This window comes from Homo sapiens, chromosome 8 (genome assembly GCF_000001405.40).
Source record: "Homo sapiens chromosome 8, GRCh38.p14 Primary Assembly".
In the NCBI taxonomy this organism is placed as follows: domain Eukaryota; kingdom Metazoa; phylum Chordata; class Mammalia; order Primates; family Hominidae; genus Homo; species Homo sapiens.
Genome location: NC_000008.11, coordinates 141,507,295 through 141,523,276, shown reverse-complemented (window position 1 = coordinate 141,523,276; position 15,982 = coordinate 141,507,295). Strand labels below are relative to the sequence as shown.

At 58.4% G+C, this 15,982-nt stretch overlaps 1 protein-coding gene and 2 long non-coding RNA genes across 6 annotated transcripts, besides 5 other annotated features; 1 reads left to right on the top strand and 2 right to left on the bottom strand.

The window, feature by feature from the left end:
• Positions 1 to 4,547: 4,547 nt before the first annotated feature.
• Positions 4,548 to 8,606, bottom strand: C8orf90 (chromosome 8 open reading frame 90). The gene is made up of 2 exons (NM_001395960.1): positions 8,502 to 8,606; positions 4,548 to 5,061 (listed from the first exon to the last, which is right to left on the bottom strand). The coding sequence occupies exons 1-2, from the start codon at positions 8,578 to 8,580 to the stop codon at positions 4,562 to 4,564; spliced, it is 579 nt and encodes a 192-aa protein (NP_001382889.1). The 5' UTR covers positions 8,581 to 8,606; the 3' UTR covers positions 4,548 to 4,561.
• Positions 6,334 to 6,628: a silencer, noted in NCBI's record as "tiled region #1869; HepG2 Repressive non-DNase unmatched - State 19:H4K20, and K562 Repressive DNase unmatched - State 20:ReprD". NCBI's record gives its function as "represses a minimal TATA promoter and a strong SV40 promoter by Sharpr-MPRA in HepG2 and K562 cells {active_cell/tissue: HepG2 | K562}" and the evidence as "EXISTENCE:reporter gene assay evidence [ECO:0000049][PMID:27701403]".
• Positions 6,391 to 6,591: a silencer, noted in NCBI's record as "peak7193 fragment used in MPRA reporter construct". NCBI's record gives its function as "represses an SCP1 promoter by STARR-seq MPRAs in K562 erythroleukemia cells {active_cell/tissue: K562}" and the evidence as "EXISTENCE:reporter gene assay evidence [ECO:0000049][PMID:32103011]".
• Positions 8,714 to 9,008: a silencer, noted in NCBI's record as "tiled region #1454; HepG2 Repressive non-DNase unmatched - State 23:Low". NCBI's record gives its function as "represses a minimal TATA promoter and a strong SV40 promoter by Sharpr-MPRA in HepG2 cells {active_cell/tissue: HepG2}" and the evidence as "EXISTENCE:reporter gene assay evidence [ECO:0000049][PMID:27701403]".
• LOC105375791 (uncharacterized) lies at positions 9,062 to 10,668 on the top strand. Of its 3 annotated transcripts, none has more exons than XR_928727.1 (3): positions 9,062 to 9,121; positions 9,369 to 9,419; positions 9,728 to 10,668. It is a non-coding gene; the product is annotated as an uncharacterized LOC105375791 (long non-coding RNA). The 3 variants fall into 3 exon arrangements; XR_001745743.1 differs by lacking the exon at positions 9,062 to 9,121 and having other exon boundaries at positions 9,151 to 9,419; positions 9,728 to 9,976; positions 10,145 to 10,668; XR_928726.1 differs by lacking the exon at positions 9,062 to 9,121 and having other exon boundaries at positions 9,151 to 9,419.
• Positions 10,669 to 13,491: 2,823 nt separating this feature from the next.
• Positions 13,492 to 15,958, bottom strand: LOC124902031 (uncharacterized). Of its 2 annotated transcripts, none has more exons than XR_007061132.1 (2): positions 15,230 to 15,958; positions 13,492 to 14,410 (listed from the first exon to the last, which is right to left on the bottom strand). It is a non-coding gene; the product is annotated as an uncharacterized LOC124902031 (long non-coding RNA). The 2 variants fall into 2 exon arrangements; XR_007061131.1 differs by having other exon boundaries at positions 15,917 to 15,958.
• Positions 15,067 to 15,246: a silencer, noted in NCBI's record as "silent region_19593". NCBI's record gives its function as "represses an Ori minimal core promoter by ATAC-STARR-seq in GM12878 lymphoblastoid cells {active_cell/tissue: GM12878}" and the evidence as "EXISTENCE:reporter gene assay evidence [ECO:0000049][PMID:35858748]".
• Positions 15,197 to 15,717: an enhancer, noted in NCBI's record as "H3K4me1 hESC enhancer chr8:142517660-142518180 (GRCh37/hg19 assembly coordinates)". NCBI's record gives its function as "activates a minimal SCP1, AML or CMV promoter by ChIP-STARR-seq in naive H9 embryonic stem cells {active_cell/tissue: H9 hESC(naive)}" and the evidence as "EXISTENCE:reporter gene assay evidence [ECO:0000049][PMID:30033119]".
• Positions 15,959 to 15,982: the final 24 nt, after the last annotated feature.

Below are 15,982 nucleotides of genomic sequence, written 5' to 3'. Positions count from 1 at the left end.
AATTGCAATTAATTAAACATCCTCGCTGCTCCTCAGAGTCCGTTCCCAGGAAACTGGAGCAGGGGCAAGGAGAGGGGCGTACCTGACCCCATCCCCAGCGGCCCCAGAATCAAAGGAGGAACCCGTCTCCTTTGAATATCGAAGGGTATGAAGTCTCCGGGGACAGCTGGGGAGGTGGAAAGAACCTGGCCTCCCGATTCCAGCCAACACCCCGGATTCCTGCCCTCCCTCTGGGGCTCCGCCTGCACCCAGAATGAGCAGGGCCCCAGGAGGCCCCAGCCCCTCTGCTCAGCAAGCTTATCTCCCAGATCACATTGGCCTATTCAGAAAATACTGAGCACCTCCTGCGTGCCTATCCTGGTTCTCGGAGCAGCGCCTTACGGGGAATGGAACAGGTCAAACAGCATGCCCTTGCTGTGCCCTTGGCAACTCCAGCTCCCTATCGAGGCTGGTGTGTTCTGGGCTGAGCCGAAGAGATGGCTCCAGGGAGGATAAGAGGCACCCTGCAAGGCAACTGTGTTCTCTGGACAGAGGAGGGGTGGCCAGACAAGGGAACAAGTAATAGCCACATTTACAGAACACTGCATGGGCAGGTCCCCGGCTGGTTGCACCAGCTCATCGAGGCTGTACACCAGACATGCTTCTGACTCCCGTTTTACAGGTGAGGACATGGTACCCTAGAGAGGTCAAGAGGCTTGTCCAAGGCCACACAGCTGCAAAGAGGGGGAACATGTCTGCTTCTGATTCCAGAACCCTCTGAGCACAAGGGCCAGCTGGTGCTGGGGAAAAGCTGATGGCCCCCCTTAGCCCTGGGGAAGGTGTCTGTGCCAGCCTGCATATAGGGCAGGGAGTGCGGCCCATCATGGAGAAACAGCTGCCCTCTCTCTGTTGGGCTCTCACCGTGCCAGGCTGGGATCGGGGGCATGACCAACAGTCTCTCTCATGATCCCCTCAGCAGCTCCCCAGAGGTCCTGTTGCTGTGTTCCCCCTCACAGCTGAGGACTAAGGCACGAAAATCAGCAGTGGCGGCTGAGGGCTGCCCGGTCAGTGGGTGGAGGACCCAGCACGCAAGCCAAGTTCTGTCACCTCCCAGAGCCCGTGCTGTAGCCCCTGCCCACCCCAGTGGCACCAGGGCCCAACGACACAGTGGCTGGCTCCCAAGGAAATAGCCACGGTATTTCCACATAGGCCACCGGGTTTTGTTCAGAAAAGATGGCAGAGTCTCCTGGCAGGTCAGTGGGAAGAAGCTCGGGGGTGAATTGCTGCCAACCAGAGCTGGAATCCGTGACTTTACAAAAAAGGTATTTCCCCCCACTTTCCAAAAATAATTGAAGCATCATTCTTACAATTATAATCCAGGCATTGTAAAAAAAAAAAAAAAAAAAAAAAAAAAAAAAAAAGCCAGGCAGCTGGAGGGGACCACAAATCCAGAGCAGACGGGCAAGCTGCCCCAAAATGGCAAGCCTGGGAAGGTCAGAACAATGGGGCACAAATGTGCTTTGAGCATCCCAGCAGCCATAGCAAAAAGGGCAATATGAGGGCTACCTGGCTCTCTCTGTGTGATGGAGGGAAGCAGGGAAACTGAGTCCTAGGAGGAATTGCCCAGGCTGTTGTTCAAGGGGCAATGCGGGCAGTCTGTTGTCTTGACACCCTCCCAGCCCTCCATCTGCCAGCTCCTGGAGGCAGGAAGCATCTTCCCTCCGTGAATGCCCAGCCTCAGCATCAGGCACAGCACAGAACAGATGCTGAGAAAACAGATTATCGACTCTGCTTTACACAAAAGACAGAGACTCCAGCCTGGGGTCGTTTCTGACCATGCTTTTCTGTGGGAGCAGCCGGTCTAACTGGAAGGAAGTCATGAGATTTAGCAGAAGTCAGCCCTGGAGCAAATCCCAGGGTTCATACCACTTGGCGGTGCTGGACATGGAGGTCAGCTCCCCCACTGTGGGCCACACAGTGTTCTGGACCTTATTGTCACAATCCAGCCAATGTCACCCTACCCCCTTGCCACAGATTCAGGCAATACAGGCCTAAGCCAATCAATGCATGCTACTCCCTCGGCCGCAGGGATAGTTCAGGATTGGGCACATGACCCAACCAGACCCATGGGTCATGTGAGGAGACTCCCAGGGCTTTGCAGGACATACAGCTGCTCATCTGAGACAGCTCATGGAAGCCAGTGGCCTCTGGCCTTCTCAGTGGCCAGGCAGACTGTGTAGTCAGGAGCTGCATCTACCATGTTACCACTACTGAGGAAACTAGTCTGAGGGTAGAACTGGCATCACAGAAGATTGGGCCTCCATAACAACACTGAGCCCCTGGATCAAACCTTCCCTGAAGCTCATCTTATTTCTGAATGTTCCAATTACATGAACCATTTAGTCCCTTTTGTGGTTTAAGCCAGTCAGAGCTTCAAATAACATACTGCTCCATTTGCTCCAGCTTGAAAGAGCCCTGGTTCCCATTCTTTGACCCTTGAAGCTCTGTTTCATTCCCCAGCCTTTGCCCACACGGCCCCCTTGGCCTGAAGTGTCCTCCCCAATGTCCATATAACTGGCTGCTCCTCATCCTTCCATCCTCAGCTTCAACGCCGCCTTCTCCAGGGTGACTCGCCTCTCTGACCACCCTATTTGAAGTACAGTCAGTCTCTTCATGTCCTTCACAGTACTCACTGCATTTCTTCACCGTGTTTGTTTCCTATTTGATTACTTGCCTTGGGTCTGGGTTCCCTAGACCAAGCTTCCCATGCTAGCAGTGGTGAAGGACCAAGGTTTTTGTTTCCAATCTGACACAGCCCCACACTGCTGTAAACTACTTTAAAAATAAATTTCTAGAAAAATGTAGTTTTAAAAAGCACAAAGTATAAACCCCACATTTATCTTGTTACACTCTCCAGTCATAAAATTACTCATCGAATTGTTATAAACATTTCTCAGTGGTCACTGTTAGTTGCTGTTTTCAGGGGAGCTGGATGCATACCCCACAGGTAAGCCAAACTGCCAGTGATGACAAGGAGGTAGTAGTGCTTGGTGCCACTCTCCCTGGGTGGGACAGCTCCGGGGCACGCACCACACTGTCTCCCAGGGGTCCCCCATAGGACTGACCTCCAGTGCCCACAGGGGTAACTTGCTCCCATTGCACCCTTCCTGGCTTCTTTCCCTGCCTGTCCTGCGTCCTCACTCCCTGCCTGTGTTTCCAAGGACCACGTCTCAAACAAACCACTCGCACCAAAATCCATGTTCAGGGACTGCTTCTGGGGACCCCAATTCATACGCAATATAGGATATATAGTACCTAATGTCATTACTGCTGCTGCCCCGTCAGGATTCAAACGCATGGTTATTATTGCAATGTAACTGTGCATCTGTAGAACTGAAGAAACAAGGCCCCAGGTGGGAGAAGCCTGGAGCAGGGGCTGGCGTCTCAGCTGGGGCCGGTGGCAGCAGAGGAGGGGGAGGCTGGAGATGCCTCTTCCCAGCCCAGGGTTTCCTCCTTCTCCAGAGATGACTGTTCCCATCCACAACTGCTTCTTCAGCAAAACCAGGGCTTGGAAAAACCTTTTCTCCCCATGACTGGCATGTGATAAATAACTCCTGGATTCGGGAAAAAAAGAAAAGAAAAAAAAAAAAACACCCGGATTCCACCTGCACTTGATGTGGTCTCCCCTGCACGCCTGGGTTGCAAGCTCCCAGCGTGAGACCATGGCACCTCTCCTGAAGGCCACTTGGCCTCCCTGCTTGGTGTTCTGTGGGGAGGAGGAGGAGGAGATATCGGGGTCATGCCGTCGTCCCGCCCTGCCACCAGCGGGCCCACAGCAGAGCCAGGCCTCTGGCAGGGGTTTGTCACCTGCAGAGGGAGGTGGTCCAGGGCAGAGGCCAGGTCATTGCTGGCCATGCTGGGCTCAACAGACTCTCTCAGCCCCACACGGGGGAAGCAGGAGGCAGCCCCTCCCCAAGGACCAGGAAGGGGGAGGCAGCAAGTGAGGGGCAGGTGCCTTGTGGTGCCCCCTCCTTCGCGTCTCTCTGCCCCACGCATGCTCTCCACTCCTTTCCTTTCTCTTCCTCTGTTCTGCTGCGTCGCCCCTTCTCCCGGCCCCCTCCCCATCCTGCTGCCCCCTCTATCATGGGAAACGGGAAAGCTGCCAGACTTGGTGTCTGCATGTGGCAAACTAAATCCCAGCTGTTCCCTGGAGGCATGGGGCCTTGGTATGCTGGTCTGTGGGATGGGGACGCTAGTCCCCACCGCAGAGCTGTGGGGAGGGTCCCAGGGCGTGGGCACTGAGGGTGGAGGCCCGGCCCCCCCACCCACCGTACCCGGGTCCTCCTCCCTCTGAAGAGGGCCTGCCTCCGTCACCGTTTCTACTGCGAATATGTTCACTGCACCTTCGGACCCATGCGGCTTCCCAGGCCCACCGCTGCCCGGCCTGGCCCGGTGTCCCAGTTGGGTTCCTGGTCCACCGTCCCACCGTCCCACCGCCCCCCTTCCCCGCCGGGCCCAGCCGCCCAGGCCTGTCGGAGTGTGTGCAGAAAAGCGCCGGGCGCGGGAGAGCTGGGGAAACTCTTTATTTATTCTGTTCGCTCTCGGGGCAGCGGCGGGGCCTGGGCCAGCCTGGGGGTGCCGTCGCTGGAAGCGCTGGCCTCGGGCTCCGGGAAGGCGGCGGCGGGGCCGGGCAGCAGCAGGACGAGGCCGGGCCCGGGCCCCGCGCGCGGGCGCAGCTCAGGGCCAGCCGCTCCAGGCGCCGCTTGCGCATCGCTGCCTGGGCCGTGGCGTGCAGGGGCCGCAGCAGCGCTGGGGGCGAAGCTCCGGGGCCGCGCAGCAGGAAGTCGAAGTCTGCGCGGTCGCGGGGGTCGTAGAAGAGCGGCCCGCAGGCGGGGTCGGACCCCGGCGGCCAGGCGAACGGGAAGGGCAGCGTGAAGTTCTCGGTGAGCACGCGGATGGCGAAGTCGTCCTGCTTGCCCAGCGCGCGGTAGGCGCGCCCGATGCCGCGGAAATGCGCCTCCCAGAGCTGCGCGTCCCCGCCGTAGATGTCCGGGAAGGCGGGCTCCGGGGGCGCCGCGGGACCTGCGGGCGGAGGGGACAGTGAACGCCCGGCAGGGCGGGGAGGGCCGGGAGCGGCCCGCGCAGGCGGGAGACCAGGAGGCCGGGCGCGAAGAGAGGTGGCCAGTCTGGAAGGAGCCGCCGAATGAGCTCGAAAGGCAGAGCTGGGGATGGCCAGGGCCACCTGGTGATGAGGCGAGGCCGGGCCCTGCATTTCTGAGGGAACAGCAACAGCAAACCAGGAAGAGAGGGAGGTCCTGGGTGTACGGAAGGGGATGCTCACTAAGTACTCTTTGGGCAGAGCCTTCCCGATGGCGAGGAGGCTGCAGACTTTGGCCAGCGTGACCACGTGGGGACTGAGCGAGCTTAGGATGTTGAGGTTCTCCCTGAAGACAGTGGCCAGCTTGGGGCAGGAGGTGAAGCAGTCACTCTCAGTTGAAAGTTGATCCGGCCGCTGTGCAGAGAATGGACTTTGGGGGCCCAGCTTCAAGGTCAGATCCAGGGGAGGACAAGATGAACATGAGGATGGGAAAACGCCACCTGGGGAGAGGCTGCAGGGCCAGATCGCCAGGCCTTGTAGACAGAGACAGGGAGGAGCCTGTGGGAACAGCCTGGCTCGCAGCCTGGACACAGCTGACCCTGGAATCCAGAGGGAGGTGCGGCCCCAGGAGGGAGCGGAGGTGGAAGAGGAGTTTGGTTTTGGTTCAGTCATGCCACCCTTCAGCCTATCCGTGGTCCCCAGAAGGCACCCACGTTGCTGGCCCATGGTCCACACCCTGCCCAAATCTAGGTCCTCCATTCAGGAGAGACCCCTACATTCCTTCTTTCTTTCTTTCATTCAGCAAATGTGCTTAGCTGTAGGGATACTGAAGTGAGCAAAGCAGCCATGGGACCTCACTTGGGCACACAGTCCAGGAAAGAATGTAGTCAGGTGGACACAGGAGCCAGACCAGGCAGCTGTCTGGGGATGGCCACACTGGGAGGCTAGGAAGTGGGAATGGATGAATATGACCATGAATTGTCAGATCCTTCTCCCAACACCCTTGGGAGGGGTAACAATATTCAGTCTGTTTTACTGGTGAGGATACAGACCCAGAGAAGTCATACACAGATGCCAAGCTGAAGCCCTGGGCTGGGCAATCACTTTCCACTATGCCACGCCCCCGGCTCAAGGGCCTTTTGATTAACAGTCTCTTCCCTCTGCACAAATATTCACTGAGCACCTACTGTGTGGCAGGCAGGCTCTGTTTGAGCCATTGACTACAGCCATGAGGAGCACAGACGTGGGGGTCCTTCCACCTGTCAGGGCCTGGGCTAGTCTTTCACCTTCCATGAGCCTCTGAAAATGGAGCCAACCAACCCTGTTCTGCTGCAGTTGCAGATGAGATGACATTGACCAGCCTGTTTGATCAATGGGAAGTACTTTCCTAAATCAGCACCGTGGACAGCGCCATGCTGGGGATAAGAGTGGAGCCCAGAGGCTGGAGAAGATCCGCTCACACAAGAGCCTGGACTGCTCTGCTTGTAGAGGGGTCGAGGCTGGAGATAGACACTGGGGAGATGATGTTTAAGCCACAAAACTAGATGAATCACTGAGGGAGTTGGGTTAGAAAGGGCAGAAGCGCAAGCAGAGAGCTTCGGGTCCTCCCTCCTGACCAGGTCAAGGAGATGAGGAGCCAGTGAGGGCACCAAGAGGGAGCGGGCAGTGATGGGAGCGTGGGAAGTGTGGCAGCAGGGACCTGAGCCGTGTGCTGCCGGCGCATCACATCAAATGAGTCCAAGTGACCTCGGACTTACCAGCGCAGAGGTCATTGATGACTTTTGCTAGAGCTGCTTTAGTGAAGCACTGGAAATTAAAACCCGGTGAGAGTGGGTTCAAGAGCAAAGGAGAGGGGAGAACGTGGAGGCAGCAAAGACAAATGACCTTCCTGAGGTTCGGCTCTGAATGTGGAGCAGAGAAGTAGGGCAGGAGACGGAAGGGAAGTGGGGTCAAGAGACAGGATAAATCGCAGCATGCTTTCATGCCAGTGGGAACGACCTGGGAAAGAGCGGTATCATGATGCAGGAGAAAGAGGGTGAAGAGTTGCTGGAGTGACAGCGTGAGTTGGGGGATGGAATGGGAGAAGCTGAATGCTGCCTTTGGCTGGGAGGAGGGATGGGGCATTCACAGGAGCAGGCCGGGGTGGACAGCGCCCAATGCCACAAGTACAGTGGGTGGGCACCAGCAAAGTCCTCTTCCAATGCCTTCAGCTTCTCAGGGAAGGAGGGTGCAAGGCCAGCAGCACAGTGTGAGGAGAGAGACGATGGGGGCTTAGAGGGAGAGAAGGTGCGAGGTGGTTGCTAGGTGAGGAGAGGCTGGGCAGACCAGGGAGGGCAGCGGAGCCGGCCTCCTTGCTGCTGAAGCCAAGTGCAGGCATTAGCAAGGTGGAGTTCACTCAGCTGCAGCCCACTGCAAGGGCACAGGCAAGGGTAGCAGGGAGTTGGAGCTGCCAGACTAGTACAAGAAAACAGGAGAGGGGCCAGCGAGGGGGCAGAGGCCATGGCAAAGATGTGAGGAGGGGTGGAGGAGGCCAGACAGGTGGAAGACACTGTGGGCTTCCACCTCACTAAAGGAGTGCTGGGGCTGGCCCTCGAGGGCAGGAGCTGGGGCAAGAATCCCCAGAGTGCGGTGGGGACAAGGGGACTGCAGTTTGGGTACAGTTTGTCGGGTGGGTGGCTGGGTGAGAGGACAAAATCCTTACAGGAGTCCGAGGGGCTGAGAGAAATCACCAATAGGATGACAGGAGAGCTAGGGAGAGGGCAGGGCAGGGGCCAGGGTCTTTAGGAGTGAAGGCATTGACCATGAGCAGGGTGCACGGATGGGTGGGCAGATGAGTGGGTGGAGGAGTGGGTGGATGGGTGGATGGATGGATGGATGGATGGATGGATGGATGGATGGATGGATGGATGGATGGATGGATGGATGGATGGATGGATGGATGGATGGATGCATGGATGGTTGGGTGGATGGATGGATGGGTGGGTGGGTGAATGGGTGGGTGGATGGGTGGATAGATGGGTGAGTGAATGGATGGCTGGCTGCCCCTCCCACTGCCTCTGAGATCCAGAGCTGAGTTTTAGAAGAGGCAAGGGCAGGAGAATGATCCGGAAGGGGCCCTAAAGAGTGAGAAGGACCCTGCACACCTCCAGGTCCATAGATCCAAAGGCTTCAGGAAGAGAGCCAACCCCTTCCCTGGGGACTTCAGAGCATCAGAGCATTGGGGAGCGTAGGGAGGAGAAGGACCTTTACAGGGAGGCTTTGATGCCCGCATGCCCCCATCCTGGCCCAGCCCCACTGCCACTCTCCTTCATGACCTTGGCAGAGCATCTTCTTCTGGAAGATGGGTCAGAGGGCCGCTTCCTGCTCCCACATTCTCAGAGCCCCAGGTGCCCCGTCCCCCTTCCCGTCCATTCCCCTCCCTCACCAAGTGTCTCGCCTGGAGTGGCTACAGAAGGAGGGGGCAGACCTGCTGGGCTGGGGGTCCCAGGACAAGAGGAGGCCATGCCAGCAGCCCGGGAGACAGGCTTCTGTTTACTAGGCTGCCCAGGAGACGGGGAGGGGCCTCCCAGGGGAGGACAGAACCTTGCGTTTAAAGGGCCTCCACTCAGGAGTGGGCTGGGGCTGTGGGGGAGGCTGAGTGGGGACCTGTGGGCTCAGTGGCCTCTTGCGCACTAAACTCTCTGTGGGCATCACTGCAGCCCCTCACCCAGCACCCTGCCCCTCGCCTGGACCCTGCAGGGCCACCCTCTGGGCCAGCCTCCCATCCTTAACCCTTCCCATTGCACCCAGCAACCCTCCGAGATCAATCCCCAGTCACATCTGCTCACCTGCCCTGCTCAGAGACCATGAGAACCTGGCACCCAGAGACCGCCAGCCTGTCCCCACCAGCACTCTTCCTCCTGACTCACCTCGGGTCAGCCTGGTGTCCACAGCCGCAGCCTGTGAGTGCTCTCAGGGCAGCCGAGGCCTTGATCCAGCCTCAGCTGGCCTGTCCCTCCAGACCACGGGGCTCCCACAGGCATTCCCGAAGTCTTCAGAGCCCAGGTCAGCAGTCCCCATCTTCAGCAACTCCAGTAGTCCCTATGAAGCAGGTCAGACCTTGCCTCAGCCACAAAGAGCTCATGGGGATATCAGTTCCCCCAAAGTGGGATCAAGTGCTGGTAGGGGTGGGGACATGAGACAGAGAAGGGAACAAAGCCTGGGAAGACGCATCCCAGCACAGTTTTACCGGAGATGGCCTCAGAGCTACCCCGCCTGCCCAAACAGCCGTGGGCTGCTGTATCCCCAGCAGGTGTGGCTTGTAAGGAGCCTGGCAGCCAGAGATGGCCTCAGGGAAAGAAAGGTAAGTGCTCCCAGGGGCCTGAGCTGGGGCCTGGCTCTTCACAAGGAGAACCCCAGCCACAGACTGGGATGTGATTGAGCAGTCAATGCCCCTGGTGTTTGAGTGTCACTCATGCCAGGCTCTCTGTTACCACAGCCTCTAATACAGCAGGGCTGTGACGCAGGACAGGACGGGGCTTGACTGGGGAGCAGGGGCCCCTCCCCTCTCCTGGTCTCTGTATTTTTGCACCTCCACATCTCTGTGCAGTTGCCTTGAGAGGGTGCCCTTCCCACTCTCCTCTGCAATGCAAACTCATGCTCCCCCTTCAGGTTCTGGCTCATATCACCTCCTTCAGGAAGCCCACCTGGCCTGCTCTGTACCTGAGAGCCTCCCAGGCCTGGCTGGCACCCCATCAGAAGTCATCTGTTTGGATATGGTCCCTCCATTGCCTTCCATGGGCTCCCATGTGTCCTGGTGATGACCTCAGGCTGCACATGGTCCCATGTCCAGGGCCCTGCCCCTCGGGGCCACACCCTCTGAGCAGCCCAGGCTCCAGCTCCCTCCGCTGAGATTCCTAGGTCAGTGCCAGCCTCAGACTTAGGAAGGTGGGCATGCGGGAGGCAGGGAAGGCCAGGGTTGTCATGGCAAAACCCTGTACCCATTCTGTCTTCCCACCCCCCTGAGAACCCCTCAGGACAGGCCTGGGCCATATCCTCTGGGCCAGACTTAAAGAAAGGCCTGCTCAGCCCCAGCAGGTGAGCTGGAACCCTTCTCCCCAGACAAGCCACACTCCATGCCCTCCCCCACCTCCAGCAAGGCTGGGGTGCAGCCCAGGAGACCCAGCAGAGGCTGAAGCCCAGCCCTCCAGGCACCTGTAGGCAGGAGCACACCCAGCTCTCGGACCTCAGAATCAGCCGTGGTGAGTGTGGTCCTGTATTCACATGGCCAGCATGTGTTTTCCACCTTCCTGTGCTCCGGCCAGGTGGCCCCCCGACACCAATTCTCAAGGCAGGCGCAGGTCAACTTCAGCTCAGCCTGGTGGGCTCCGGCCGAATGATGGTCCTGAATGGCAGCTCAGCTATCAATATCATTGTGTGACTACAAGAGGAAGAAACAGTTCATCCTGACATGCTCATTCTGCAGACCGCCACTGAGCACCTCCTGGGGACCAAGCCTCAGCTGGCTAGTGGCCTCTAAACCAAGCTGTATCAGTCAGGGAGACATCTAAGCTGTTGCAACAAAGCACCCCCAAATACAGTGGCTAAAACAAGACAGAACATTTGTCTCCCTCCTGCAACAGTCCAGCCACTGCAGGCTTCGAGGGCAGCTCTGCTCCATGGGGATACTCAGGAGCCCAGGCTCTTTGGCCTGTGGCTCTGCCCTCACCCAGGGGTGGGTGTCCTCATCTGCGAGGCCGAGGTGCAGCGGCACGTACCACATCCCAGCCCGGGAGGGGCAAAGGCAGTCGTGGGCTGGCAGCTTCCTATGGAGAACACAAGGAGACACTGCCCACTCCACTTCTCAAATTCCAGGGCACTGCCCACTCTACTTCTCAAATTCCAGGGCACTGCCCACTCCACTTCTCAAATTCCAGGGCACTGCCCACTCCACTTCTCAAATTCCAGGGCACTGCCCACTCCACTTCTCAAATTCCAGGGCTGAGGATTTGGTCTTGTGGTCCCCCTTGGCTGCAAGAGAGGCTGGGACATGCCATCCACTCCTGGGTGGCCATGTGCCCAGCATCTGGAGGGACAACTTCATTTGGCAGCAAGAATGAAGCCCACCCAGTGCGTCTCAGTGTGGGCTCCCCTGCAGCTGAGAGTGCGCTTCCTGGAGCTGCTGTAACTAATTAACACCATCCTGGGTTAAAGTTGCATCCCTGGGCCAAAATCAAGCCAACAGGGCTACACTCGCCCCAGAGGTTCTGGCAGGAGCCTTCCTCACCTCTGCCAAAGCTGGTGGCCGCCTCCCTCCAACCTCTGCCTCCGGGGCCACACGGCCTCCTTTCTTTCTGTAGTCAAACCTGCCTCTGCCTCCCTCTTGTAAGGCCAGACATGATTGCACTGGGGGCCACCTGGATAATAATGTCCCTAAAGATTCTTAATTTCATCCAGCTACAAAGCCCTTTTTTGCCATAAAAACTAATAAGTCCAGGTGCCAGGCATGAGAGCATTGACATTTTTGGGGCATTTCTTCTGCCTACCACGCAGACCCCAAGGCAGCAACTCAGGGCAGGCATGTTCTTAGGATGTGATCCCAGGAAACACTGTGGGGTGGGGGAGGAAGAGAGACTCAGAAGGTGGGAAGCCGGATTGGCGTTGTCAAGCACTCAGCATCCTGGAAGCCACCGGGGCTTGATCCCACTGGGTCACCCCATCGGAGGGGTAGGGCTGAGCCGTCTGTCCCCGCCCCCAAATCACGGGTCAAGGGCTGCTCCCAGGAAAGCTGGATTCCCTGGTAGCTTCAGCAGTGGCCAGAGATCCCCCCAGAGAGAAACACAGGTGATGGCAGGTGAAGAATGGGAATGACGAGAGCCTAAGTGCGGGGTGAGGGAGCAAGAGCATCTGTGCCCAGCCCACCCTCCGGTGCCTCTCTACTGTAAGCGGGAGGGCAATAGAGAGAAACCCAGAAGGAAATGCCACTGTGAAAGGGAAATTTGCAGGGAGCTCTGACAATGTCGAGGTCGGGGGGACACTCTGTGTCCATTCTGTGATCTGAGATGGCCTTTCAGGGAATGATGCTGAAGCAGGGGGTAGGCGGGCCTTAGGAGCAGCGTGTGCAAAGGCCCTGTGGCAGGAAAAGCCCCAGCCCCTGAGGACCATGAAACATCAGCCCAGGAGGCCTGTGGCTGGTGAGCAGTGAGCCGAGAGGAGGCCGAGGGCACCGGCAAGACAGAGGAGACGCAGGGGACTTGTAGGAGCCAGCCCCCTTCTCCTGCCTGGGGCCACAGCCTGACATACATTCCTCCACCATCAGCATCACCCCCTCCCCCCAGCAGCCCCCCTGCTACACACTGGCCTTTGCTGCCTCCTCCAGCAGGTCAGGAAGGCCCCACCTTCCTGAGGGACAGAGAAGGGGGCCCGGCAGAAGAAGCCTCTAGGTGGAGGCATGCAGACCCAGGCCCCGGGGGGTGGCTGCCGACGGAGGAGGGAGAGCAGGCACAGAGGAGGGAGAGCAGGCTCGGCTGGCCTCCCCAGAAAGGCCCTGGGGGGTGGCTGCTGATGGAGGAGGGAGAGCAGGCTTGGCTGGCCTCCCCAGAAAGGCCCCTCCCAGCGCTCCCCCCGCCAGGAGTTATTTTTAAAATCTCATTTTCAGAAAGCGGAGGAGAAAACCTCTTTCTTTTGCCTTTTCTCCACTCTTTTTTCTGTGAAAGCGTAGGAGGGGGTGTGGAGGAGGAGGGGAGCCCTGGAAGGAGAGGAAGAACCCCTGGGCAGTGTCCCAGCTTGGGGACCCGGGCCTGGGGCTGACCGGGGCTGCCCCACCCTGTGGACCCCAGAGCCGCCAGTGGGACCCTCCCTAGGCAATCTTGGCATAGGAAATCAACCATCTGCAGGATGGGGACCACCCAGGGCCAGGAGGTGGGCACTCTCTCTGCCCCCCTGGAGGGGCCTCAGTCCATCCCTGCTGTGCATCTGAGGGCAGCGAGGCTCAGAGAGGACAGGGACTCCCTCAGCCGGGAGCACAGAGCCCCAGCAAGAGCCCAGAGCCCCGCCAGGCCGCAGCTGCTAGGGGAGGGCCAACCTGGAGGCCCTGCAGCCCCCCTTGGGGATCCCAGTGCTGCCACTAGAGGCTGGGTCGGGTGTGCTCAGTGGTGGTTGTTTGTGGTGGGTGTTTTTGTTTTTCTGTGATAAGAACACTTAACGTGAGATCTACGCACTTAACAAACATTTAAGTGTGCAGTGCAGTTCCGTTAACTATGGGCGCAATGTGGCACGGCGGACTCCTGCAACTCATCCTCACTGAAACTTCATCCCCATTCAGCAGCAATGCCTCCTTTCCCCTTTCCCCCGACCCGCCCTGGGAACCACTATTTTACTCTCTGCTTCTGACTTTGACTATTTTAGATTCCATGTAGAAGCAGAATCAAGCAGCATTGGCCTTTCTGGGTCTGGCTTTATTGCACTTGGCATAAAATCCTCCAGGTTTATTCACGTTGTCATATATGGCAGGTTTCCTTCTTTTTAAAGGTTAATATTCCATCATGTGTCTATACCACATTTTCTTTCTTCATTCATCTGACCACAGACACTTCGGGCGTTTCCGTATCTTGGCTATCCTCAACAAAGCCACAGCGATCATGGGAGTACAGCTCTATCTTCAAGATCCTGGTGCCATTTCCTTTGGCTGTAACCCAGTAGAGGGATTGCTGGATCAGATGGCAGATCTATCTTTAGTTTTCCGAGGAACCTCCATGCTGTTTCCTATACTGGTTGCACCATTTTACATTCCCACCAACAGGGTACAAGGGCTCCCTTTCTCCACACCCCGGCCAACACTTGCCATCTTGTCTTTTTGATGCCAGCCATCCTAACAGGTGCAAGTCGGTCTCACTGTGGCTTTGATTTGCATGTCCTGGTGATAAGTGATGTCGGGTGCCTTTTTATATACCGGCTGATTATTTGTCTTCTTTGGATAAATGTCGATTCAAATCCATTGCCCACTTTTTAATTGGCTGATTTGGTTTTCTGCTATTGAGTGACAGCAGTTCCTTATATATCTTGGATGTTAACCCCTTATCAGAGAGAGGGTTTGCAAATATTCCCTCCCATTCCGTAGGCTGCCTTTTCATTTTGTTGTTTCCTTTGCTGTGCAGAAGCTTTTGAGTTTGGTGTAGTCCCACTTGTCTATTTTTGCTTTTTCGCCTGTGCTTTTGGCTTCATATCCAAAAAATCATTGCCAAGACCCATGTCAAACAGCATTTCCCCTGTTTCCCTCTAGGAGTTTTACAGCTTCAGGTCTTATGTTTACGTCTTCTGTGGGGGTGTCCACTGGTCAAACAGGGCCACTGTCTCCTGGGAAGGGAAATTCACAGAGTCAGGCCTTGGGGCAGCAGCCAGGGGAGCTGGAGGTGGGACCCAGCTGGACAAGGGGCATGGGTGTCCACCTGGCCCCTCCTGTCACCTCCAGTCAAACCACAGCCCCCACCATCCCGCCGCCCAGTCAAGCCCAGCAAGGTTGAACAAACCGCCTCGAGAATAAATGCTATGGGAGCCCAAAGAAATCAGGGTGGCTTCCCCGAGGAGGTGGCCTGGGCGGGGGTCTCCAAGGACAAATAGGAAAGGGCAAAAATGAGTTTCTCTAGGAAAGTGGGGGGCAGGGCGCATTCCAGGAGGAAGGCACTGCACAAAGCCTCAAACCTGGCTGCAGCCTAGGAACCCCGGGGAGTTGGGCAGGGACACAGAGAAGGAGCCTGGGAGGCCAGGGGGCTGCCCGGCCCTTGAGTCTGGCCCCTTCCTCATTGCAGGCGAACAGCAGGAGGGGGAACGGCCTAGGCAAAGTCTAGGTGGTGGGACCCACGTGGCGCCCTCCGGCTTCACTGCCCCCAGTGGGTAGTGCCCGCAGCCCCAGGCCTAAGGCGGTGGGATGCCAGGCACCCCTACCCATGACGCCCTTTCTGCGGGTCCCTGGCTGGAGGGAGGGTGCGGCGGGGAGGGCGCGTGGGCTGGGTGGCACGTGCGCCTCTCACAGGCCCCCCGTCCAGGCCGCGGCCCTCCTGCCGCGCGAGTCCTGCCTGGGCCCGCAGCGCCATCTGCCGGCCGCGCGGGGGCCGGGTCGCGGAGCAGGCGGCGGGGAGGGAGGGGGTGCCACTGCTCCAGGGGCCTCGTCCTCACCCTAGACTCGGGTCTGGGGACCTGAGTTTGAGGCTCATCTCCACCACTGATTGCTGTGCGACCAGCCGCTGGCTCCTGGCCCTCTCTGAGCTCCACCCCAATCCCAGGGCGGTGAGCAGGGCCAGGCCCACAGCGGCCGCTCTGACCCTCGGTCCTGCTCCAGTCTTACAGACGGGGAGGAGTGCACAGCGAGGCACGGCGAGGTTCCCGGGCACGCGGTCAGCAGAGAGGGGGCTGGATTTGATTCGGGGCAGCCTGCCCAGCCCCACAGGCTGAGCTCCCAGGCTCTCCCCGCTCCTGGTTCCTTCGGCTGGAGAGGATCCCAGAAGCGGCAAGCACCCGCACCCAGAGGGGAGCCCACCACATGGCAGGTGCTCACTCTCACGCCCAGAGGGGAGCCCAGCACCTCGCAGGTGCTCACTCTCACGCCCAGAGGGGAGCCCAGCACATCGCAGGTGCTCACTCTCACGCCCAGAGGGGAGCCCAGCGCATCGCACGTGCTCACACTCAGACCCAGAGGGGAAGTCACAGCTCCAGCCCCGGGACCTGCCACCCACACAGGGACCTGGACTTAGCAAACAAATGGCCCAAGCCGGATCATCCACGGGTCTCCCAGGAGACAACTGAGGCCCAGAGAAGGAAGGGGCAGGCCCGGGACCCCTTGAGGACCCACGTCTGAGCACGCACCCACAAACACAGGCACACACGCACACCTGCTGTCCCCACAACACAGACAGACCCTAGAAAGGATGC